Raw genomic sequence first — 24,426 nt, 5'->3', positions numbered from 1 at the left:
TACCTTTGCATGTGTACATATGCATATTTGCACATCTATGTGCATGTGATTTTGCATGTGCATATGTGCATGTGCAGGTGTACGTGTGTGTGCATTTGCACATATGTGCACGTGTATGTTTATGTGCGTGTGTGCATGTGTGTATGTGCATTTGCATGTGCATGTGTGTCTGCATGTGCATGTGCATGTGGATGTGGATGTACGTGTGCATGTGAGTGTGTGTGCACATGCATGTGTATATGTGTGTGCATGTGTATATGTATGTGCATTTGCATGTGTGTGCATGTGTATGTGCCTGTGTAAGTGTGTGTGCATTTGCACATATGTGCATGTGTATGTTTATGTCCATTTGTGCATGTTTGTGTGTATGTGTATCTGCATGTGCATGTGTATCTGCATGTACATGTGTATATGTATGTGTTGTACATGTGCATGTGAGTGTGCATGTGAGGAGTGTGCATGCGAGGAGTGTGCATGTGAGTGTGCATGTGTATATGTATGTGCATTTGCATGTGCGTGTGCATGTGTATGTGCCTGTGCACGGCAGAGTGAGCCAAGAATTTGAGGGAAGTGTACAGATTCAGGGAATCATCCTATGCAACTTCCTCAATCCAGCATTTTCTTCTTCAATTTCCAGCCCCGCTGGAAGTCCTAAACATGGATTCCTGATTCCCCAGCCCGGTGAGACTGCTGCTTTCTTGTCCTCTAATCTTCTTGGGCCCTGCAGACGGGAAATTCCCTCAGGAGAATAGCCAGATGCACATAAAACTTACCCAGATTAAACCCCTTATCTCAGGAGCTGTGTCTCTCCTCCAGATTCTGCCTGTTTAGTCACTCTCCAGTGCCTCCCAACAGTTATTTTGATGTCTTACCCAGAGCTTATACATGCAGAGATTGGACATGTTGCAGGTTTGGTTCCAGACCACCACAATACAGTAAATATCACAATAAAATGAGTCACAGTTTTTTTGGTTTCTCTGTACATATAAAAGTTATATTTAGACCATCCTTGAGTCTACTAAGCGTGCAATAGCATTATGTCTAAAAATGTACATACTTTAATTTAAAAATACTTGATTGCTAAAAATGCTGATGATCCTCTGAGCCTTCAGGGAGTCATCATATTTTTGCTGGTGGAGGATCTTGCCTGGGTGATGTTGGCTGCTGATGGATCAGGGTGGAGGTTGCTGAACACTGAAGTGGCTGTGTCAGTTTCTTAAAATAAGACAATAGTAAAGCTGGCTGCATCAATCAACTCTTTCTTTCACAAAAGCTTTCCCAGTAGCATGAGGTAGCAATTGACCCATGGTAGAACTTCTTTCAAAATTGGAGCCAACCTTCTCAAACCCAGCCACTGCTTTCTCAACAAAGCGTATGGAATATTATAAATCCTTTGTTGTGATTTCAACAATGTCCACAGCATCTTCACCAGGGGTAGATTCCATCTCAGGAAACCACTTTCTTTGCTCATCCATAAGAAGCAGCTCGTCATCTGTTCAGATTTGATCATGAGATTGCAGGAATTCAGTCACATCTTCAGACTCCACTTCTAATTCTAGTTTTCTTGCTATTTCCACCATATCTACAGTTCCTTCCTCCACTGAAGTCTGAAATCCCTCAAAGGGTTGGAATCAACTTCTTCCAAACTATTAATATTGACATCTTGGCCTCCTTCCATGAATGACAAATGTTCTTCATGACAGAAATCTATCTGTGGCATCTGTAGTATTACAAAATGTATTTGTTAAATAAGAAGAAAGTTGAGATGACTCCTTGATCCAGGGCTGTAGAAGGGATGTTGTCCTAACAAGCATAAAAATAGCAAAACAACGTTCATCTCCTCGTACATCTCCATCAGACCTTTTTTTTTTTTTTTTTTTGGACAGAGTCTCACTCTGTCTCCCAGGCTGGAGTGCAGTGGCATGATCTTATCTCACTGCAACCTCTGCCTCCCAGGTTCAAGCAATTCTTGTGCCTCAGCCTCCCGAGTAGCTAGAATTAATTACAGGCATGTGCCACCATGCCTGGCTGATTTTTGTATTTTTAGTAGAGGTCGGGTTTCACCAAGTTGGTCAGGCTGGTCTTGAACTCCTGACCTCAGGTGATCCACCTACCTGGGCCTCCCAAAGTTCTGGGATTACAGGCATGAGCCACCATGCCCGGCCTCCATCAGAGCTCTTGAGTGACCAGGTGAACTGTCACATTAGTATTTGGAAAGTAATCTTTTCTTCTTTTTTTTTTTTTTCTGGGCAATAAGTCTTAACATTAGGCTTAAAATATTCAGTAAACCATGCTGTAAACAGGTTTGTCATTCAAATGTTGTCATTCAGCCTTGTTGTTCCATGTCTAGAGCACAGGCAGAGTGGATTTAGCATCATTCTTAAGGGCCCTAGGATTTGCATAATGGGAAATGAGCATTGGCTTCAGTTTAAAGTCACCAGCTGCATTAGCCCCTCACAAGGGAGTCAGCCTGTCCTCTGAAGCTTTGAAGCCAGGCATTGACTTCTCCCCTCTAGCTGTGAAAGTCCTAGATGGCATCTTCTTCTAGTAGAAGGCTGTTACATCTACTCTGAAAATATGTTGTTTATTGTAGCCACCTTCATGTTTATTGTAGCCACCTTCCTCAATGATCTTAGCTAGGTCTAACGGACGTCTTACTGCAGCCTCTCCACAAGCGCTTGCTGCTTCGTCTTGCACTTTTGTGTTACAGAGTCAGCCTCTTTCCTTAAACCTCATGAATCAACGTCTGCTAGCTTCAGGCTTCTCTTCTGCAGCTTCCTAACCTCTCTCAGCTTTCACAGAATTGAAGAGAGCTAGGGCCTTGCTCTGGACTAGGTTTTGGCTTAAGGGAATGTTGTGGCTGGTTTGATCTTCTGTCCAGACCACTCAAACTTCCACCATCTCAGAAAGAAGGCTGTTTCACTTTCTTATCATTTGCGTGTTTTCTGGAGCCGCACCTTTAATTTCCTTCAAGAGGTTTTTCTTTACATTCACAACGTGGCTGTTTGGCCCAAGAAGTGCAGCTTTTGGCCTATCTCAGCTTTCAACCTGCTTTCTCACTAAGCTGAAGCATTTCTAGCTTTTGATTGGAAGTGAGAGAAGTGTGACTCTTCCTTTCATCTGAACATGAGGCCATGGCAAGGTTATTAATTAGTCTAATTTCAATATTGTTGTGTCTGAGGGAACACAGAGGCCCTAGGAGAGGGAGAGAGATGGGGAGACGACTAGGAGAGCAGTCAGGAGACACACAACATTTATTGGTCAAGGTCATAGTCTTTCATGGGCACAATTCATGGTGCCCCTAAACAATTGCAATAGTAACATCAAAGATCACTGTTCACAGATCACCATAAAAGGCATAATTTAAATGTTCGAAATATTGCAAGAATTACCAAAACCTAAGAATTACAGAAATAACACAGAGACCTGAAGCGAACCCATGCTCTTGGGAAAATGGCACAGACTTGCTCAGCGCAGGGTTGCCACAAACCTTCCAGCTTTGAAAATCGTAGTATCTGGCAAGTGCAATCAAATGGGGTTCTCCTGTGATGATTTCTGGTGGGAAGGTTCGTCCAATGTAAGCCCCTTCCCATTTGGCAAAGCTGTGATGTTCTCATGCATTCTTCTTTCGCATATGTGTGAATCCTACTGTTTTTCATTATTATCCACATATTTGCCCTCTTCGTTCTTCTCATTGCCCTTCCCAATTACCCTGCTTACATTGCAGATAGTTTTCTTCTGAACTGGGAAAGCTTTCCAGAGAATTTTATAGGCAACTTGATGTACGCTAAGCTGCTTGGCAGCCCCGGCTTATGACACCTCAGGGAACTTCCCCACACAGCGGACCAGAGCCATGCTCTCTCCAGTGAGGTCTGGATTGCAGATGTGGGTCCCCTCTTCCAGATGCCTTCCTCACTCAGTGGCACCACCACAGTCCCTGGGGTAGGGCTCTCCCTGCAGCTTTTATCCCTGTGCTATTTGCTGTTCTCTTTGCACCCTGGTAGGAGGTCCTTGGTATCAGATACTGATTCTTTCTGTTAATATTTCTCGGTTCAGATTTATGGTTTCTGTCTCCTACAGGGGTTCTGGCTTAGAGCATTCTTAGTTTCAATTATTGTATGTTTGAGTTGTTATTCTTCCCAGTTGTGGGGTAAGATTCTCAGTTTGATTATGTATTTTCTTGAATTATTACATTTTTGTTAAAGTCTCTGTCTAAAAACTGCAAAATCTAGATCCCATGGAGATCTGTTTCTATTGTCTTATTTTTCATGTTATTCTATCTTGTCTATGGGCAGGCCTGGCACATTTGTGTCGAATGTCTGAGATGGTGCATGGAAAGCATTAGAAGGTCTGGATGAGGCTGTCTTCCTCGAGAGCGCATTAATCTTCTCCTGCCCAGCTGTTAGAGTAGAACAGGATATAGATACAAACAGGCCCTGAAATGTTTTGAGGCCAGGTGTTGGGCATTGCAAAGACTGACTTGGCTCTAGTTTGTCTTTGCTGTTGGTCTACAGCACTGCTGAGGCCTCTACTGGAACAGGAGGTGCTCACTAGGGCCCTTTCTCTTCTTGGAAGTTTTTGTCTTATTTGACTCTCCAGCTCTCCTTGGCTACTTAGCACTGAGCAGCTGCTTTGTGCTTGATTTGTAAGCCTCTTATGAACCTATGCACCTTGAGACTTGACAAATTCCCCAAGAGAAAAATCTGTGCAAAATGGTGGACTCGCTTCTCTGGAAATCTGTTTTCTCATGGATCGTGCCCCCTCAAATCCTGACGGCCTGGAAAGCCTTGGCTTCCCCTTTGATCTTTTCAGATGCATGGGACGCAGCTGTCTTTTGGACTCTTCCCCACATGGCAGATGATACATGCTCCTGAGGAAAGGTGGCTACAGCACTTAGCTTGTCTCCTGTGTTCCCTCCTCTCGGGGAGGCGACCCTGGCACCTAAGATCTTTACCATCTTGATTACTTTCCAATGCCTTGAAACAGCAGCTTTTCTTGCCTGCTCTCCAGCTTTAATATCTATTAATTGTGGGAGGGTTGGTCTGGTGCAACACATTCTATAAGCAGAGGGTATCTGTTCTATTCAATTGATTTTTTGCCATAACCAGACAATAAGCTTCTACAGGCTGGGTTTTTAAAAATGTTTTTAATTTCACACAACCTAATTTGGTTCTGAGCTCTCTCTTGGGGGTCCAGCAAACACAATTTTATGTAGAAACCAAAAACTGAAGCAAATACTTAGATTATTTCAGGAAAAATCATCTCTGGTTGTATTTATCCAGGCTGCCTGTACACAGTCCAGACAAAATCAAGAATAATTTGGCAGTGCTTTGGAGTGTAGACCACACACCAATGTTTGAATTTCTTAAATAAATGTTATTTGAGCTCTGTCATAGCCAAATTTGCATTTCTTTTACCTGGAACTCTGAATTTTGGTCTTGTCTATGCTGGAGGTTCTGAGATGCTTTTGAGCACAAGTAAGTTTTCACACCATCATGTCAACTTCAAAGATGAGTGGGCGTGTTCCTAGAACACACAAGTGCCCTTAACATCTCATGATAAATCCATCCTTCTGGAATTGTCCATGGCCATCAGGGGCTACTTTGGAAGTAAGACTGGCTAGGATTGGATTTCCATTCTAAGCAGAGGGACTCTGCAAAGGTTCCTGAATTTCTATAAGTCCCAATTTATTCATCACTTAAAGGAGAGTTGCAGTTCCCACCTCAAGGATTTGTCATGAAAATTAAAAGCAATAAAAGAGATGTTGCAGTAAAGCACAGACAGACAGACATCAAGAGAAGCTGATCTCTATGTGCCACTGTTCTTTCCTTCTCTCCTAAGCCATGTTCTTCCAGATCCCCCAGAAAGCCCCCTGCTCCCCCGCTCTGTACCCCAAGGCACTCTGTCTCCATGTCTGTTCACTTCTTAAGGTCAGGAACTTGAGGTCTGCTTTATGCTTGGGCAGAGGGCCCGGTTTGGAGGAGGTGCTCAGGGCAGCTCCATCCAGTGCAGCAGACTGGTTCATGCACATATGTAGGGCAGCAGCACCGAATGGGCACCTGCTGTCTGCTGGGACGTGGGGATGCAAAGAAGGCCCATGAGCCAGGCCTCCTGGATGAAAGGCCTCTGAGGGCCTGACTGCTGGGCAGTGGTGGAGAAGACGCCCCTGAGCGGCGGTTGTGCATCTGGTGGAAGAGTGTGGAAGGCGAAGAGTGTGGAAGGTGGCTTGTGGGAAAGGATGGGAAGGGCTTCCCAGGAAGAGGCAGTGTGAGGAAAGGCGCTGGCCCCACATATCCCCCCCGGGAGAGGTGCATGAGGAGCACTGGAGGGAGTGCTGGGGAGAAGTCACGTTCTCTGTCATGGGAATCACACTGTCTCCTCTTCCCATTCAGGCAGCTATTTGGTGAGACCACCATTAATTTGGTGAGCCCAAGGAGAGCCACCACCCTGACTCCCTCCACCCTACCATGCCTGAGCTGGCTCACCCCTAACTGTTGCTGATGATGCCCTGGGCAGAACAATGGGACATGGAGCCTCAGACCACACATGTCCCCAGATGGGCATGCCCACCACTCTGTGCTCCAGAGGTGCATGCCTGCAGGGGAGACCCTCAGGCCAGAGCATTCATAGTGAGCAAGAGTGTTTGCCTCTAGCCCCACGTGTCTTACTAATAGGGAGCTCCCCACGCCATGAACGAGGCTCAAGAGCGCCTTCTGGCTGGAGCCAGGGCTGACCTGGACATGTCCCCCTTGTTCTGCTCTTCCACCGTGAGGATGACCGGAAGCAGGAGCAGGCACGCAGGGAAGCCCCTGCCCCTGCTCATGATGCAGGGTGCTGCTTGGAGCCCAAGAAATGCACTTCACAGAGCACGAAGACACTCTCAAGGCCCACGTCTTATCTGCGTTCCCCAGAAGCAGATCCTGAGATGAGGATTTTAGGTGCAAATTGTTTATTTGAGAGGGATTTCAGGAAGCACCAATTAGAGAGTGGGGACCTGAGACAGAGGAAGAAGCAGCCAACCAAGGGGGCGTTTCCAAGCCAGTGACCCAGTGGGCACGAGAAGCCCACCCCCAGGACTTGTCCTCAGTGTCTAGCACACACCCTAACCTTATCCCACTTAAGGGGCGAGAGAATTGGGGTATTCACATATCAACTCCCACCACCGCTGGGTGAGGGCTGCTCCTGGGGAGTGTGAATCCCCAGAACCTCTGACCCCTTCTGCATGTGGGCGGGGCCTCCTGGCAACCAGGGAGAGGGCAGGTAAAGGAGCACTGATGGCTGCAGGTGGCAGCACGGCTGTGTGCACTGGGAGAGTGAAGCCGGGTGGAACTGCATGCCGGCTACAGCCTCTGTCCCAGCCCCACCCAGTCTGACTGCCCTTCAGGAGTTCACTCTCCTTCCAATGAGGGAAGAGGATGCAAGGCAGATAGAGAAGGCAAGGCAGACAGAGGAGACCAATCCTATGCCATCTAATGCTGGGTGGAGCAAAGGGGTTTGCAGTCTCTCCGGCCTCCCACTGGCAGCTCCAGCCCAGGAGCCTTGGCCCAGAGGCACTTCTCTCCCCTAATCTCTTCTTCCTGGGATTGGAGTCAAAGGAGAGCCTCGGTTCCCCAAAGCTGACCTGGGTTCTCCGCTGTGGGCTGCCCAGGCATGGCCTCTGCCTGGCAGATACTAAGTTGGGTGAGTTGGACCACAGGCTTCCAGGATGAGGGACTCACCATGGGATGGAGGACTTAGAACCCTGCCCATAGGCCTTGGGGAGAGGCCTTCTCCCTTCCCCCTCTCGCCCTCATCTCCAGCTTCTACCTCTGTGAAGCCGAATCTGACCACCTGGAAAGCACACCTAGTTCCTTTTCTTTTCTTTTCTTTTCTTTTTTTGTTTAGAGAGTCTCACTCCATCCTCAGGCTGGAGTGCAGTGGTGTGATCACAGCTCACTACAGTCTCAACCTCCTCGGACTCAGATCATCCTCCCATCTCAGCCTCCCAAGTAGCTGGGACTACAGGCGCATGCCCCATGCCCAGCTAATTTTTGTATTTTCAGTGGAGATGGAGTCTTGCCATGCTACCCAGGCTGGACTCAAACCCCTGGCCTCAAGCAATCCACCCACCTTGGCCTCCCACAGTGTTGAAATTCCAGGTGGGAGACCACGTGCCTGGCCATGCTTCTTCCAGGTGAGGCCAGCATGGAGCTCCTCTGTCTTCCTTTGAGTCTCCTTCTAGAAAGAAAAACCCAAGTCCACCGTACACTTGAATTACTCAAATGTTTCCACCCCCTCTGCCTCTCCTTTCCCCTCTTGCCCCCTCCCCACCGAGCTCCCCAAGCTGCCCCCGCAGTGCACAGGCCAGGAGCCGCCTCAAGGAAGCCGCACTGCATGGTTTGATGCTGGACACCCGGAGCGCAGGATCTGCCAGCCTGACTCCACCAGGGCCCCTCCGGCATGAATCGGAGGATGGTTTAGAGAGCAGGAAGAAAGGGGTAGATAAGGCAGCCCAGCCTTCCTTAGCTGCTGGAGATAAGAGGAGAAGTGCCTGGAAGGTGTGTTTTATCACATGGAGTTGCTTAAAGTCAGTGGCCTTGTCCCCACTAAGCCCAGGAATCTCAGAAATCCTTAAGGGAGCCCCTGTCATTACTGAAAAGCTCTGCTTGTGAGAAAAGGGCCTCTCTCGATTGAGTCAAAGTCGGCATCCAGGTCTTCCAGACATTGGCTCCCAGGTCTGCTGTCTTCTGGCTCACAGCACCCTCCACTCTCTGCCCGTCACTCCTTGTAAAAACATGAACACAGTGAACATCCCTGCTCCACAATACACACACGTGCTCGCACATGCGCACACACATGCGCATGCATGCATGCACTCACACATGCACACGCACACACATGCACACGCACACACATGCACTCACACACATGCACCCACACGCACACACATGCACATACACATGCACACACACATGCACACACACGTACACACGCACACACGCACATGTGCACACACACATGAACACACATGCACGTGCCCTTCCCTGAATCTGTATCCAAGCCCCCAGTCGCTGCTCACCTCTGCTCACCACGGCAGGTTTTCTCACCCTTGCCGTGCTAGGACTCCTCCTCAGAGGCACTCATAAATTATAGACTCATGAAATGTCACAGATTTGGGAAGGGCCTTTGGAGGTCATTGGGTTCAACGCCCTTACTGTACTTGCGGGAAATCTGTAGGCCCAGAGATTGTACGCAGGACGTGCCACGGGCCACGCAGCAAATCAGTGGCCGAGCCCGCCCCTGCGTTGATGTCACTTGACTCCATGACTAAGCTCTTTCCCAGGTGCAAACTCCACCCTAATCTGTTCATACCGTGTTCCTAAAAATAGAGCCCTGTGCTGAGGGAGGGAGGTGGAGTCCCGGCTTCACTCTCCTTCATGAGGAAGAAGTGGCTTCCAAGGAGTCTCTCTAAGGAGCTGGGGGAGCCGCTGTTCCCCCACAAGTACTTGCACAGCAGGTGAGCTGTGCTGGAGTCAGCCTGAGGAAAGCCGCCGCCAGCTTTGCAGAAAAGCCTTTTGCAACCATAGAAGTACAAAGCACCTGAATCCAGTGGACTCACCCTCATGGGAGAGCAGATAATGGCTTCCAGGTCTCCACTCCCGTGCAATGGGCTGTCCTGAGTTGGATGCTGTCCAGCAGAATGTTGGCTCAATGGAAGAAGGACTTTGCAAAGATGGAGTACACAAGAAAGGGGTGCTGTCTGAGTTAGACATTGGGGTTAGATGTTCTGCCCTCTGCCAAAGGCATTGGGGATGCCCCCAGTATTGTCGTCCAGTTACTTCCCCACCTCAGCTGATGCTGAGCTCGGCCATTTGACTGCCTTTGGCCAAAGGAACATGGGCGGAAGCGACCGTTTGCAATTTTGACCTGAGGCCCTCAGAGGCCATGCATTTTCCTCTTGCTTTCTTCTTTTGCTCCTAATAGGAGAGAAATGAATAGAGCCTGCCCCAGGCTCATCCACTGGGCACAGAGAAGGCATCCTGAATCCATCTTGCAGCCGGGCCAGCCCAACCTTACCACCTCAGCATGGTGCTAACTGTCCCTTGTTAACCACTGGGCTTTGCAGAGGCTCGTTATGGACAGTTATTCCTCAACTGCAGACGAGTACAGCCAGGTTCAAGAAGGAGATAACGAGCATTGTAAAGATGCCAATTTCTTCTAAATTAACTTATGGATTCAATGCACTATCTGATTAAACTCTCAATAGGAATTTTTGGAACTTGAAAAACAGACTAGACATTATGTATAGAAAAATAAACCCTAAAATAGGTTAGCACATTCCGAAAAAACAAGTAAAAATTCAGTTGTTGGGGGAAGCTCATTTAGTCGACTTTAAAACAGATGAAAAAGCCACAGGAATTGCGAGTGTGAAGCTGTCAAAAAACACAGGACGTGAGAGGATGCATGTGGAGAAAGAGAGGCCCCCGTGTCTGTGAGAATCGGATAAATGACAACAGATATTTGGGGAAAGCGTGGATTATTTATTAAGTCGTGTTGAGAAATTTTGGCAGTTTATGGATAAGAATAAAATTGGTTTTCCCCTTCACACCACATTCACGAAATTAACTCTGGATGGATTTAGCACATAACGGAGAAAGGTTAACATGATAAAGTTAATTTCGAAAACGCAGGAGACTATCTTTGTGACCTTGGGGCTGGGGGGCACTCTCTGATCAATCATTAGCCGAAGTCAGGAGGAGGGAAGTCACTGGCCGGTTATGTCACCTCACAGCGAACTTTTTCCCTTAGTGAAGGACTCCAGAGACCCACGGGCCACAGGGGGTGGAGCGATCTGCAGAGTGCTGGCTCCTGAAGGGTCTGCGGCAGGAAGGCCGATGAGAAACTCAGCAGGAAACCAGCACCAACAGGGAGAGGAGAGCCGCAGAGAGGAGGGTCCACGGCCAAGGCCGCCCAGGCTCCAGGGAGATGCTCAGCATCACCGAGGCAGAAAGACCTCACTGCCACCCTGAGATGCCATCAGAGTGACAAAGATCAGACAGGTGGGTACCAACGAGCACTTCTGAGGGCTGGTCATCTATGTGACCCTGTGGAGCTAAGGAGGCCTGCGAGGGAGGGCCTGCAGGACAATGTGGACGGTCTCAGTGACATGGCAGAGCCGCCCCTGCCAAAAGCCGGCCACACAGTTCCTGGGCAGCCCACAGAGGCCCTTGTCCCGAGGCTCAGTGAGGCATCTCTTTGAGGATCTGATCTGTAGCGTTATTTGGGGTGGAAAGAACCGAGGCCCACGGGCCACCCACACCTTGAGGCACAGCTGTGGGACAGAGGCCGTGGAGTACTCAGAAGGGCTGTGCCAGCGGCACCTGCAGGCACAGGGGCCGAGCCTCAACGAAGAACGTCAGCAGAGCCGGGACTGACTCAGCGGCCTGAGGGATTTCCCAGGGGTTTTGCCTCCTGAGGTGGTTTTGGCGAGATGGTTCTTTGTTCTGCCCACGGCCTCCCTGAGATTCTCTGGGCCCAGGCCTGGGCCCCACGCATCTTCCCCCAGCTCCGTGTAGGAGAATCAGGGCCAGCAGGGGCTCCTCCCTGGTCCCAGCATACACCCTGAAGGGCAGCAGGAAAGGGGCCGTGGGTGTCGGAGTTGAGAGGACGCCTCCTCCTCTCACCCACCCTGTCCGTGCGTCCCTGAGCCCTGCTTGGCTGGTCCACCAAGGAGCTTCTGCCTCGGTTTCCTCACCACACCCTGTGGGGACCTGGGCAGTTCTGGACCACAGCCTGCCTGTCTGGGGAGACCTGTATGTCACCTGCCCATACAGCCCTGGCACTCACTGGGAATGGGCCAATGCCGGTCTCCAGGCCTCTGTCCGCCAGATTTCCAGGGCTAGACTCCCTGCTGGGGCTCGCCCGACAGTAGGGTCTCCTCACACCACAGGACTTGCCCGAGCCAGGCCCCACTAATGGCAATGCTGTCATCATCTGCGTGACCACTTGGTTGTCCCCAGCAGGAGACCCCATAACCATGAATGAAGCTAACAGACCCTGTCCTGGCTTCGCCCCCACCTAGCACTGCTCAGCCCTGGAATTTCCCAGCCACCTTCTGCAGAGCAGCGGAGGAGCCAGCCCTGTCTAGGAGCCAGGCATACACAGTGCACCACGCACACAGCCGTCAGTTCAATGCACATCTGAGAGTTCCTGGTTTGAAATGCAACATGACACCCAGCCCGGCTGGTGACAGCTGACGCATTGCAGAGGAGAGCCTTGGGGGCATGGGTTGTTACTATTCTGCCTCCCCAACCTGGCCCAGCTTTGGTCTCTGAGCAGAGGCTTAGACTAGGCTGTGTCATCTGCACCTTGCCCTGCACACCTTTCCTTGTGCCCAGAGCCCCCAGGGGTTGGAATCTGCCAGTTTTTCCCACCACAGCCAGCATGGGCACAACGGGTGGCCATTTGCCCCAGGACCAGACCAACTTCCAACTTCAGTGCACAACCCAAGCTGCTTCTGGGATGTGCACACATTCGCCCTAGCCTGTGAGTTAGGCTCGGGGCTCCAACTTCTAGGGGGAGAGGCTTCAGCTTATTTTTCTATTGAGATTGAACTTGAGGATATGTGTGTAGAGCTGCTTGGTGGGGATTCCTTTTCTGCACATGAAGCCCAGGTTAGAAATGGTGCTAACGTGGAGGAGAAGGAAGTCAGAGAGAGAGGAGGCCAGGTTTCAGCCTGTGCCTGAAGCAGAGGTCCCCTTTACTTTCAGCCATTGTCTGAGCCAAAGCATTCCTTTCCTTCTCTCCTCTTTTCTCCTTCTCCTCCCTCTCCTCTCTCTTTGTGTGTGTGCGTGTGTGTGTGTGTGTGTGTGTGTGTGTGTGTGTGTGTGTGTAACACCTGTTTTAATTCCTGCCACCGCTTACAGCAGACCAGGTCCTGACGGACACGGTGGGGGAGTGCAGTTGGCTCCATGACCTGGGCAGGCTCCTGTGTGAGGCTCGGCCACTGCTTCCCTCCTCAGCCAAGCCCTTCCCAGCCACTTTCAGGTTCCAGGCTCCCCCTGGACCAGCCACACCAGGTTTCCCCCTTTATTGGAAGGGGCATGGCAGGAAAGCGGATCTGTCCTGATTGGATGCTGTCCGGCAGTATGTTGGCGCAATGGAAGGACTTTGCAAAGCTGCAGCACACAAGAAAGGGGTGCTGTCTGAGTGGTGGTCTGATCTGTGCCCCTGGAAGAACTCCAGCAGTGGAGAGGCTGGATGTGGGAGCACAGCTGGCCAAGCAGGGCGGCAGGAGGAGAGGGCCCCTGAGCCCGTCCTAACTTGAGCAACTCTGAGAAGCAGCATGGGGCAGCCAACATTTCCCGCATCCTCTGCGTGCGGACGAAGCTCCGGTGTGCCCACACTGGACGAAATGTGTCAAAATCCAACAGTTGGCAGCCACGACAGCCCTCGAGGGTCCCCTGCTTGGAGCTGGCATTTTGCAAAATGCTGATGTGGCTGAAACTATGAATGTGTGGCCAGCGGGCAAGATGCTTGAAGCAGGACAGATGGATTCGGGCCAAGCCAGGCTCTCGCTGGCTGCTCCGGGCTCTCTCCTGCCATCTGCTTCGACGTCTATTCCAGGGTTGCTGGAGGCAGGGTTGGAGGGCCTGGTGGATCACGGGTCCAGGCCTAGGTGGGACAGGGGGATGACAGCAGCAATTATCAGCCATATCTGAGAGCAGCACGTGGAACAGCTCACAGCGAGCAGGTGTCTGTTCTTCCTGAGAAGCATATTGTTTCCAAGAGGACAAATAACACAAAGAGAAGCAGAGAAGCAAGGATGCAGAGCTTTCTAAACCTGAACCATCCCCACATCCCATGGACTTCCACAGCACCTGCGCTTCTGCGTCTGGAAGGCCAAGCTTTCCCAAGGTGCTGCTCTTGTTCTAGAAGATGCACCTGGAGTTGGGAGCTCAGCAGTGAGGTCCTCATGAGCAGGGGCCAGGAAAGTCCCTCTGTCAGAGCAGCTGGAGAGGGGGCTTGGAGAGGAGGGAGGGGAGGGCTAGCCAGTAGGGTCAGACATCAGGAGACTCCTGGGCAGCAGGGGGACACCGCCATGCCTGTGCCCTCCTGCCAACATGTAACATGGTTATATGTTGCTGCAACCAACCCCAAAACTTAGTGACATGAAAGAATAATCTCTTATAATGTGTGTAGATTGAGCGTGGCTGGGTTCTTCTGTACCACATGGTAATGACTGGAAGGGCACTCATTAGAGAGCTCTTCTGGACTGGACACCCTAGATGGCTGACTCACGTGCTGCGGTAGAGAAGGCTGAGATGCTGGAATAGCCAGGTGTCTCTCCTTTCCTCTCTTCTCCTCTGCTGCCCTCCTCTCCACTCCTCCCCTTCTTTCTCCTGTCCTTTCCTCTCTTCTCTTTTCTGCTCCTCTCTTCTCCTCTCCTCTTCCTCTTCCTCTCCCTGTGTCCTCTTGCCGTGGCCTGAGAGGAAGCTCTCCCCAGAGAGAGCAGGGTGTGCCCAAGGTCACCCACGGACCTGGGAGGGCCCGAACCCTTGATTCTTAGTAGTCAGGAGGCGAGGACATTCTCAACGTTCCAAGCCATTTGATCCAATTCAGCCAGGCGCTGGGGGAGTGAGCAAAAGGAAGACACAGCCCTGACTGTTGGGAGCTCAGTGTATCTTTGGGGACAGGAAAAGTGATTTCCGCAGTTAAGTATTTAGAATGTTTCAGGTACAACCTTATGAAATTGTCATTTTTGTGGCTCAAAAATGGCCAAACCTCAGTGATCTGGCAAGGGCCAATGGCAACGACTGGGTGCCAAGGAAGGTATGAGAGGGCGTGGGTGGGTGTGGGTGGTGCCATGGCCTGTGGCTAATACACAGGTGTCCCCGTGGTGCTGAGGCCTGCATCTAGGAACTGGGGGTCCCCCGTGCTGTGCACCCCTGTTCTACAGCCTTCTGTGGGGTGTGTGGGGCTGGCTGGGAGTCACTGCTTCCGTGCCCCTGCCCTGCCTGTGGGGTGTGTGCACCCCGGGTCCATTGTGTCTGCGGGTTCCACAGGCACAGAGCCTTCACTCATCCACTCTGTGACGGACGCTCTTGGGTGGCCTCTGAGCAGGAACCCTATCCCGGGTGCTGGCTCTCCGGGGCAGACCTTGTCCTCCAGCCTCTCCCGGTGAGTGGAGACACCAAGCTGTACCCGGCTGAGAAAGTCCCGAGCCCTGTGGGAGGGTGGCTCCGGGAAGCTCCCCTGTGCAAGTGCCCTGAGTGCTTCCTTCCACCTGACGTTGGTGGCCAGGCCATGCCACCCACCCTCTGACTCTGGTTGGGGGTTGTGGCTGGTGAGAGGTCTTGGCCCACACTGGGGGGTCTCAGTATTCAATGATCCCCATGGATCCTTTCGTGTCCAAATACAGCTTTTTATTCCAGGGACTTCCATTCAAGCGGAGGACAACCAGGTGCCCCCAGGGCCTGTGGCGGAAGCACAACCCACTTCCCCTTTCCTAGGCAGGGAGAACCAACACCCAGAAGCCTGCTCTGGAGCCGGCCTGCCTCCCAGCACCTAGGGTTCAGCTGCTTCTGAGACAGCCCCTGGCTGGAGACCCAGCAGCCTCTGACTCACAGGCTGCTGCCCTGGGCCTCAGTGCTGTCCTGCAAAACCAGCCGTCTCAGTGTCTGGGTCTGCTCGGATGGGGCCTGTTGGAGATTTCTTCTTCTCAAGACTGGAACCAGGGAGCTGTCCAGGATGAGGTCACCAGGGGCGTCTGCTGGGAAGGAGCCCGCAGGGAAGGTGCAGTCCCATCCCCTGTGTGGTCATCCCAGGGCCCTGGGAGTCGGGGTGTCATGGGACCAGGGCACCTGTCTTCCGGGCCCCCTCACCACCTGCTAGCTTTGGGCCTGGGGACAGGGGAGCTGCCTTCTGACGGTGGTATCTGGATGTTGTTTACCGCGGCGCAGGTGTGAGGAGCAGGCAGGCTTCACAGGAGGCCTCTGCCTATGAGCTACCGTGAGCTGAGGCCACCGGCTCAGCCCTGTCTGCTGGCTGGGTGACCCGACGTGAGTGAACATAGCTAAGGGCTTGGGATCTGGAGCCAGCCTCACTGGCTCAGCCCACTCAGGGACTAGCAGTGTGATCATGTCCGACCTTCCCCATGGGTGGCTGAGGGTCAGGGGTCCTGGTGGGATTTCACGTGCACAGGGCTGTGCCGGGCTCGGGCCCCCTCTCGGCAGACAGGAGCCGGGGCCACCCCCGGAGGTCCGTGCCTCTGTAGGAAGCTCTCTAGGGACAGAGTCGTAACTTTAGGGTGGGGGCAGCGCGTCCTCTCTCTGGACAGTGTTCCTATTGGGTGTCAGGCTAGGGGCAGCACAGGCCTCCGGAGATGGCATCAGGGCCTGGGCAGGCTGAGCAGGGTGGCCGGGCTCCAAGGCCGGTGCCCACATCTGCAGCCTTCCACAAAGGATGTGCATCCACCTCCGGGATGGGGTGCCACCTTTTCTTCCATTCCTCTGGTTTTCCAGCATGTTTTCAGTGATTTGAGTTTACAGGGGAAAGAGTCTCCTGGCTGGAAGCACAGATGCCTCCTCAAAAGGGGAAGGGCCCAGCTAACTGCAGCCCATGCAATTGCCAGCACTGGGGTGAGGGCAGATGTGCTGGAGTCCCCTGGGGAATCTGGGCAAGGGAAGTGGGATCAGAGAAGAGGGGGTGTAGCCAGGGAAGGGGCTGTTGCAGGAGGGCACACCATGCACCCCACTTCTCCCTGTCATGTCTGTGTTTGCTGTGAGGCAGAGGTGCTGGGGATCCCTGTGTCCGGCCCCCAGGAAGCTCTTCTGAAGTGTCCTCTGTGCCTCCTACGTGCTTCCAGCTGTGGGGTCAGGGCAGGACCATGGAGCCCACTCACCACTCACTGTGCTTCTGAGGGAAGGAGAGAGGAGGGAGAAAGGGAAGGGTAGAGGGCAGAAAGGAGAGAGAAAAGGAAGAAGGGAACGGGAAAAGGAAGGAGAAAGGGAGAGAGGGAGGAAGGGAGACAGGGAGGGAGAAAAGAAAGGAAGGGAGGGAGGGCAGGGAAGGAAAGAGGGAGGAGGGAGGGAGGGAGGTGGGAGGGAAGGAAGGAGGGAGGAAGGTGGGAGGGAAGGGAAGAGGGAGGAGGGAGGGAAGGAAGGAGAGAGAAAAAGAGGAGGAGAGGGAGGAGGGAGGGAGGGAGCCCGAATGCTGGCCTCATAGCCTAGTGTAAGCAGGGCATGCCCACCTACCCTTCCAGGTCCTCTTTCTCCTTTAAGGACTCAGCTCCGCCTCTTCCGGGAAGGCCTCTTTGATGGTTTGCGCAGGCCCTCTGCAACCTGGATACCCTCCCCATTTCCTCATCCAGTCCCTGCGAGCGTCTCTGGATTAGAATCATCCTGCCTACCTATCCACTTCGAGCCTCTGACAGCACCACCCACTCATGTTGGGCTCTGTGCCATCTGTGTGGGGCCACACATGCTGGCATTCTCTAGGCGCAGGTGTACATGTTGTCTGTACCCTGGGGGACCTCGCCCTTCCAGAACTGGGTGCTCTGCTTTTCCTGTGACAGGAAGTGGAAGGGCCGGCAGAGTTGGGAATGCAGAGCCCAGGTCACCCCGAATGGGGGAAGCTGCCAAGCAGGAGAGGCAGTCCCATGGTGAGCGCTGACCCACCCAGAGCATCCGATGGTCTCAGGAGGGCACTTGGGGCAGGGCTCACCCTTCTCTCCCTACTGCACACTCTTCTTACATACAGCCAAGTGTCCAGGTGGTGGGGTGTGACCCGCCATGGGAGCTCCGCCGTGGGCCCCAAGGACCAAGCTTGCAGAACTGGAGGTCCACGCTCATGGGCAGGTGTGGCGCAGGCCGTGTGACAAGAAGGAACAGAGTCAGGAGCACAGACACGATGGACCTTACCAATTCCCCCTGTGGGCCAGCATGGTGGGCTTCCCAGCAGAGCAGCAGGGGGAAGGCCAGGACCCCACCTTGCTCTCTGCTCAGACCTCTCTGAGCCTTGACCGCCCCCACTGTGCAGGGAGCTCAACCCTCCATCCCCTTCATTTATTCACTCAGCTCCACCTTGTGCAGGGACAGAGTCACCACAGCAGCCCCTAACCCAGCAGTCCTGCAGCGCTTTGCACAAGCCGGGGTCAGAGGGATGTGGCTTCACATGCTCACTGGGCAATGTTGGAGCTTGTCACCTTGGGCCTGTCACTCAAGTGCTCAGAGCCCGGGCTTCCTGCTGCTGAGGGGGGCTGGCTGGAGGTCAGTGAAGGGGTACATGCCGGGAAGAGGGCCCGGTAGGACCTGCACAAACACTGGTGGATCCCGGGGCAGGTCCTAGTCCTGGAGGCTGGGGCTTACTCTGTTGGAGAGGTGGATGTGTGCAGAGGTCAGTGCAGGGCACAGGAGACCCAGGAGGGACCAGGGCAGCCCAGGGCAGGTGGGAGGGCCTAGGGAGGGACTTGCCTGGACAGAGACCTGAAAACGAGCCCAAAGTGACCCGGGCAGACAAGAGCAGGGGCACCTGGTGCAAGGCGGTCTCTGTCCTTCCGGAGGGCACCTGGCCTCCCCGCCCCCGCGGAGCATCCCACACCCCAGGAGTTCCCACGAGGCTCTGGCCCAGCTCCCTCTCTGAGATCCCAGTCATGCCTGGGTGTGGCCGCGGCCTGAGGACATCAGAGCTGCCAGTTCTAGAGCTGACATCAGGTAGAGAGGCCTCAGCAGAAGGTGGGTGGGTGATGGGCTGAGTACCTTCCACGTGGAGGGAGGGACAGGGTCTCACAGAGACAATTTGTCCTCAGGGAACACTGAGAGGTGAGGCTGAGCAGAGAGTCGCTTGTCACAGGCCACGAGAAGTGGCCTGGGTGGGAAGAGGCCATGGCCAGCCTCATGCTGCCCTGATGGCTGCCGTCTGCCCAGAGGCGAGAAAGCACCCTGGGGGCCATCGTTCTGTTGGATCCTCGCCCACGGGGAGAGGTGCCTTGTCCTGGCTGCCCTGGTTGGACCACCATGGGCTGCTGGCTCTGCTCTCAGCCCTCGGTGGTGAGGGGACATCGAGTGGCCTGCAGTGACGGGAGGTGGCAGGAGACAGGGCATCTCTCATCTCCCGTCCCACAGGTCCAAGTGCAGGAGAAACCAGTGCAGGCAGTGTCCCTCAGAGGGCTGGGTGTAGGGGACTCACCTTCCTTTTGTCTCTTTTCCAGGACTGTGGCCTCCTGCAGGCACTGCTCTCACACCCGGCCCTGATACGTAGTGGTGTCTGGCACAGGCTGGGCTCATGATGACTCCCCAACTTCCCTGGGATTTGTTCTGAGGGGTGCCAGGCATCAGCTCCCCCAGTCAGGTTTCCTTGAGATGGGAACAGTGCTGGCCCCGTAGGGTGCTACTTAACTGGGAGGATGGTGATGGAGACTGGCCAGCAGCCGCCCTTCCTCAAGTGCCACGAGGGAGGGGTGTGGACAGTGACCTGGCATGGCCGTGCCCATTGGGCAGAGCTTCCTGTGGCACACAGCTCTGTGCCACTTGGGCAGGCCACCTGTCCAGCCTCTGGCTTCAGATCCAGGAGCCCGTCAGGCCTTTCTACACCAGCCAGCCTGCAGGAGGATTCTGCCACTCACACAACTAAGGGCCTCAGCCAGGCCAGGGTGGGCAGCTCACCCAGACTAGGGCAGCCCCAGGGGGAGAGGGAGGGCTTGGACAGCCCTCAAGCAACTCGGCTCCCCTTCGCCCCTCAGCGGAGGCCTCAGGTCTGCCCCGACACGTGTTTTCACCAGCTGCAGAACAGGCCCCCTTCCAAACGCAGGGCCCCACTTTCTGACAGCCAGGTCCCATTGGCCCAGCAGCCCCAGAGAACTGCACAGCCCACCTGGCTGTCCCTCCAGTTTTGTCCTAGATGCTGTCCTTGTGGCCTCCAGTTCATTCCTCTGCAGCCTGAAGGCCAGACCTATACCCATCTCTGCAAGCCCAGAAGCAGAGACCAGAGGTGGCTTCCTGCTTTCTCAGCACGTCACACCTGGCCCAAGACCTCTGACCAGCCACCTTGCTGGAAGTCCTAGAAGACAAGTGTCCGGGCTCCTGGCTGAGCTGCTGCCCTGGCCATTACGAGCTGTGTGGCCTTAGGCAAGTGACCTGACTCCTCTGAAGCTTCCATGGTCAGCATGAGCCTGAGCAAGCGTGAAGCGTGGGCAGTGAGGGGAGCACAGCAGGTACTTAATTCATGCCTGGCCCTTTTCTTCTAGGACCAAGTGTATGGAGGCAGCGGCCATGGAGCGTCGGCTGTGGATCCCACCCTGCAGGTTAGGGCAGGTTGTGGGTGGAGTCCAGCCCCAAACTCAGGCCCAGGACATGCAGCTGCTTGAGGTGGACGAGAGGGCAGGACTCAGGTTCCTGAGGGAGGCGAGGAAACCCCTGCTCCTCACAAAGCCTGTTTCCCCAACTGCACGAGGAGCAGGCTGGAGAGACAGCTCGTCAGCTTCTTCCCGTGTGCGACTCAGCTGCCCCTCCCTGCCCTGGTAGAGGCTGCCCCGAGGCCCGGAGCTGGCTTGGAAAGGCCAAAAGCCTCCAGGACATCATCTGGAAAATGAGAGTGAGCAGGATCGATTGGCAGCACTGGAGGCAGCCACAGAGGCCCGTGCATCGGCAGGCAGGAGGGCTGGAGAAGACAGAGCCCTGTAATGTTTGCTCCTTCCCTGACACCCTGGGAGTGGTGACAGCTATCATCGGATCCCGAGGACCTGGCTTGTCAGTTGTCAGGGAGGGGAGAGTGGAAGACGGCTGTAGTGGCCCATGATAGCCGCAAGGGCGCTCCACCCAGGTGGGCCGGAGAAGGCAGGTGTCTGTGGGTGAGCTGGGAAACCAGTGTGTCCCACCCAAGAGAGCTCACCCCAGGCTCTGGGGAGCCAGGGAGGGACATCCCAGCCATTCTGGAAACCCGTGTCCCCCTTCCCCCTCCAAGGTTTGTTGCTGATATTACTGTTAGGAAGAGCACGTGCAAGCAAGATGGGGTGCTTTGGAAAGAGGACATAGAAGAAGAAAAAAATCCAAGTTCACAGCACCCTGACATGGTGCTGCTTCTGAGCAAAGGGCTTCCCTGGGGATTTCATGCTACCCTGTGTCATGTCCATGGAAACAAGGTGTGGAAATGGCCTGTTCCCGCCTTGCCCCGAGGTTGGGCTGCTGTCTCTCACCACGAAGATGCTCAGGTGCTCCCAGGGCCCAGGGATCTGTGGTCAAAGGGTCCGTCTATCTATCCAAGCAGGAAGACTGTCATAAGCTGAGCGGCATCCCCGGAACTCCTAGGGTGAAGTTCTAACCCCTAGTATTTTAGAATGAGACTATGTGTGGGGATAGGGCTTCCTAAAATGTAATTAAGTTACAATAAGGCCAGAAGGCGGGCCCTCATCCAACCTGCTGGGGTCATTATTATCGGAGGTTGGGACACAGACATGCACAAAGGGACGACTTCATGAGGACACAGGGAGCACACGGCCATCTACACGCCAAGAAGAGAGGCCTCAGGAGGGAGCAGCCCTGCCGACGCCTTGCTGTGGGGCTCTGCACTCCAGGACAGGAGGAATTCGTCTCTGTTGCTTCAACCGCCTGGTCTGTGGCCCTGTGCGAGGCAGCCCAGGCTGGGGAATGCAGAGAGCCAGGCTCACGAGGGGCAAACGGCCTGCTCAGCCTGGGGGCCCTGGGTTCAGTGTCTTCCCTCACCACGCAGGCTCTGCGGCTCAGAGCACCTTGCTGGGCACAGGACACTCATGTGTGGCTGGAGAAAAGCTGAGGGCCTGTGGGCCGGGATGGCATCTCAGCACACCGGAGGTCACTGTCCATTCATGACTCATTCGACCCCTGAATGGGCAGAATGTGCTCATGTGTGTACATGCATGTGTACACATGTTCCTGCATCCGTGTGCATCGTTGGGGTGACCAAGCTGAATGAGGCCCAGCCCCTCCCACCCTCAGGAGTCCCCCAGAGCGGGGTGCAGAGGCGGCGAGACCTGGCGGCTGCACTATTCTGCCGTGATGAAAACGGATGAGGCTCAATGGCACTGGCCTGGAACGATGGCCACCGCAGATTATTACATGATGGGGTCTTAGGGAACAGAGGCAGCGGAATGCCATTTTGGCTAAAAAAGAAAGCAGCAAAAAATTATAGATATAAATTATATATATATACACATATATATGTATATATTTCCTTATGTTTGTCTGAGGTTGAAGGAAATTATACCACAAGCTGGGTGCTGCTTCATCACCATTGGTGACCTTGACAGGGCCAGAGGGAAAGGAGATTTGATTTTTTCTGCAGTGGGGACTGCATTCTTGGAATTCTTAAGAGTGCAATGACTTTCATCCTAGAGAACCCAGTGTGGTAGAGGGGAGAACAGACCAGAGCTGACCGGGAGCCATGGTGGGGGACAGAGGGCTGCGGTAAGGGAACACCTGCTCCCCGTTAGGACTGGGGCTCCCTGGACAGGAGACACTGCTGGCCTAGGATCTGGGAGGGGAGGCCCCTGCACCCCTCCTGTGGTTCTGGAGAGGTTGGCAGGGGAGGGGTGAGGTTGGGGAGAGGGACAGGGGGATAGGGGGAAAAGCTGGCCTGGGAGCTCCCCTCCTGGGCGGTAAGGGGTGTCTGACTCCTGGCCTGGGCGGTGAGGGGTGTCTGAGAGCACTCTCTCTGTGGGACTCTGTGGATGGAGAGCCGGGCATAGACCTTGCCGGTTCCAGGTAGACTGTGGCCACTAGATCCCAGGACCCTGTCGCTAGGCACAGCTGTCAGCTGACTGCAGGGAAGGCCAATGGTGGGCAGGGAAGGTGGCTCCGCACTCAGGGCCAGAGCCTACCCACCAGCACAGAGCTCCATGGCCATGGAGCATCCCACCCAGAGGCTGTCCCTGCCCACACGGAGCCATCTGACCAGCTCTCCCCACAGGGGGTGAGGGAGATGGAGGCTCAGCCATGGCTGGCAGTGCCCTGCAGACCAATCTACCCCAACACACCTCCACCCCCACTGAAGCCTTCCTCATGACACCCCCAGGCCTCCCACCCTCAGGTCTAGCCATCCACCCTAGGCACCCCCTCCTCCTTAGGCCTCCCCCTCCTCACCTCCTCCTCAGGCCTCCTCCTCCTCCCTAGGCCTCCCCCTCCTCCTCCCCTCCTCCTTAGGCTGCCCCCTCCTCCCTAGGCCTGCCACTCCTCCCTAGGCCTCCCCCACCTCCCCTCCTCCCCAGGCCTCTCCTTCCTCCCTAGGCCTCCCCTCCAGTTCCCCAGTGTCCTCGGGAATGCCCGTTCCTAGTAGAGCCTTCCTTGGTGGCCTAAGGTGACCTGGCCCTACCTGCTCCAGCTGCAGTCTGGCCCTCACTCTGCCTGTGGCCTGGCTCCATTGCAGAGTCAGAAGGGAATCACTGGCTTGTTCTTTCTCTGTGTCAGGAAACCCTGGCAAAGCCCCAGCTGAAAGCTGGCTTGGCATTTGGTGGTGGGTCTGGAATCACTGGAACTGTTTCCTCTGCTTTACAGCTGGGGCCAGTGAGGCCTCACAGCTCCTGTGCGGGTTGCCTGAGGCTCCAGGAACCTCTGCTGAGGAGGGGCTGGTGCAGCCCAGCTGGGTAGCAGCTATCGGACAGCTGGGAGCATGGCTTCGACGCCGGGCTGCCTCTGCCATCAACAAGACCTGGGGTCCGGGCAAGTCCCTTCTCCACTCCAGACCTCGGTTTCCTCATCTGTAGATGCAGGGTGGTTAGACGGGTGCTCTGGGACCCTGCTGCCGGCAGATCACCCAGAGCAGGCTGCTTCGGTCTCAATGCTATTGACATTTGGAGCCAGATCCTTCCTTGCATAGGGGCTGTCCTGCGCCCTGTGAGATGCTGAGCTGCACACCTGGCCTCCCCCAACGAGATGCCAGGGCCCCTTCCCTCCAGCTGCACAATCACAAATGCCTCCAGACATTGCCACACGTCCAGAGGGGCAGAACCACCCTGGTGGAGACCCCAGCCCTAAAGATGCTCTTGATCTTGACCTAGGGCCCAAGGATGGGTCTCAGGGTCCTTGAGCCCCCTGGATCTATATACAAAACAGTGTGCACATATGTGCACTTTTCCGGGGAGAAAGCCACAGAGGTTACAGGATCTAAAAGGAATGTGTGCACCCCAAGTTAGAATCCCCATGGCTGCTCTGCTTGCGGGATGCAGCCCACGAGGAGAGCCCCCACCGTCCTTGCACAGAGCAGTCGGCCAAGGTCTTTGTCTCCCGGCACCAGGCTGAGCTCTGCCTCTGGGCTGGGTTGCATTTCCTGACCCCAGAGATCTCTGTCTTCTCACTGCCTCTCCTATCCCTCATTCTCATTAGAAAATCTCTTCCATAAATTGCCCCTTTATCTGAAGTATTCCTATCGGGTTTCTAAACCCCGCTGATGGAACAGGGCTATTACATATGCGATCGC

General features: G+C 54.3%; 4 annotated features.

Moving 5' to 3' along the window:
* Positions 11,600 to 11,669: an enhancer, noted in NCBI's record as "active region_28055". NCBI's record gives its function as "activates an Ori minimal core promoter by ATAC-STARR-seq in GM12878 lymphoblastoid cells {active_cell/tissue: GM12878}" and the evidence as "EXISTENCE:reporter gene assay evidence [ECO:0000049][PMID:35858748]".
* Positions 20,400 to 20,991: an enhancer, noted in NCBI's record as "H3K4me1 hESC enhancer chr8:143014855-143015446 (GRCh37/hg19 assembly coordinates)". NCBI's record gives its function as "activates a minimal SCP1, AML or CMV promoter by ChIP-STARR-seq in naive H9 embryonic stem cells {active_cell/tissue: H9 hESC(naive)}" and the evidence as "EXISTENCE:reporter gene assay evidence [ECO:0000049][PMID:30033119]".
* Positions 22,244 to 23,215: an enhancer, noted in NCBI's record as "H3K4me1 hESC enhancer chr8:143012631-143013602 (GRCh37/hg19 assembly coordinates)". NCBI's record gives its function as "activates a minimal SCP1, AML or CMV promoter by ChIP-STARR-seq in naive H9 embryonic stem cells {active_cell/tissue: H9 hESC(naive)}" and the evidence as "EXISTENCE:reporter gene assay evidence [ECO:0000049][PMID:30033119]".
* Positions 23,216 to 24,187: an enhancer, noted in NCBI's record as "H3K4me1 hESC enhancer chr8:143011659-143012630 (GRCh37/hg19 assembly coordinates)". NCBI's record gives its function as "activates a minimal SCP1, AML or CMV promoter by ChIP-STARR-seq in primed H9 embryonic stem cells {active_cell/tissue: H9 hESC(primed)}" and the evidence as "EXISTENCE:reporter gene assay evidence [ECO:0000049][PMID:30033119]".

Source organism: Homo sapiens, chromosome 8 (assembly GCF_000001405.40).
Source record: "Homo sapiens chromosome 8, GRCh38.p14 Primary Assembly".
NCBI lineage: Eukaryota > Metazoa > Chordata > Mammalia > Primates > Hominidae > Homo > Homo sapiens.
The sequence above is the reverse complement of the archived record's forward strand: the minus strand, read 5'-3'. Positions and strand labels throughout refer to the sequence as shown.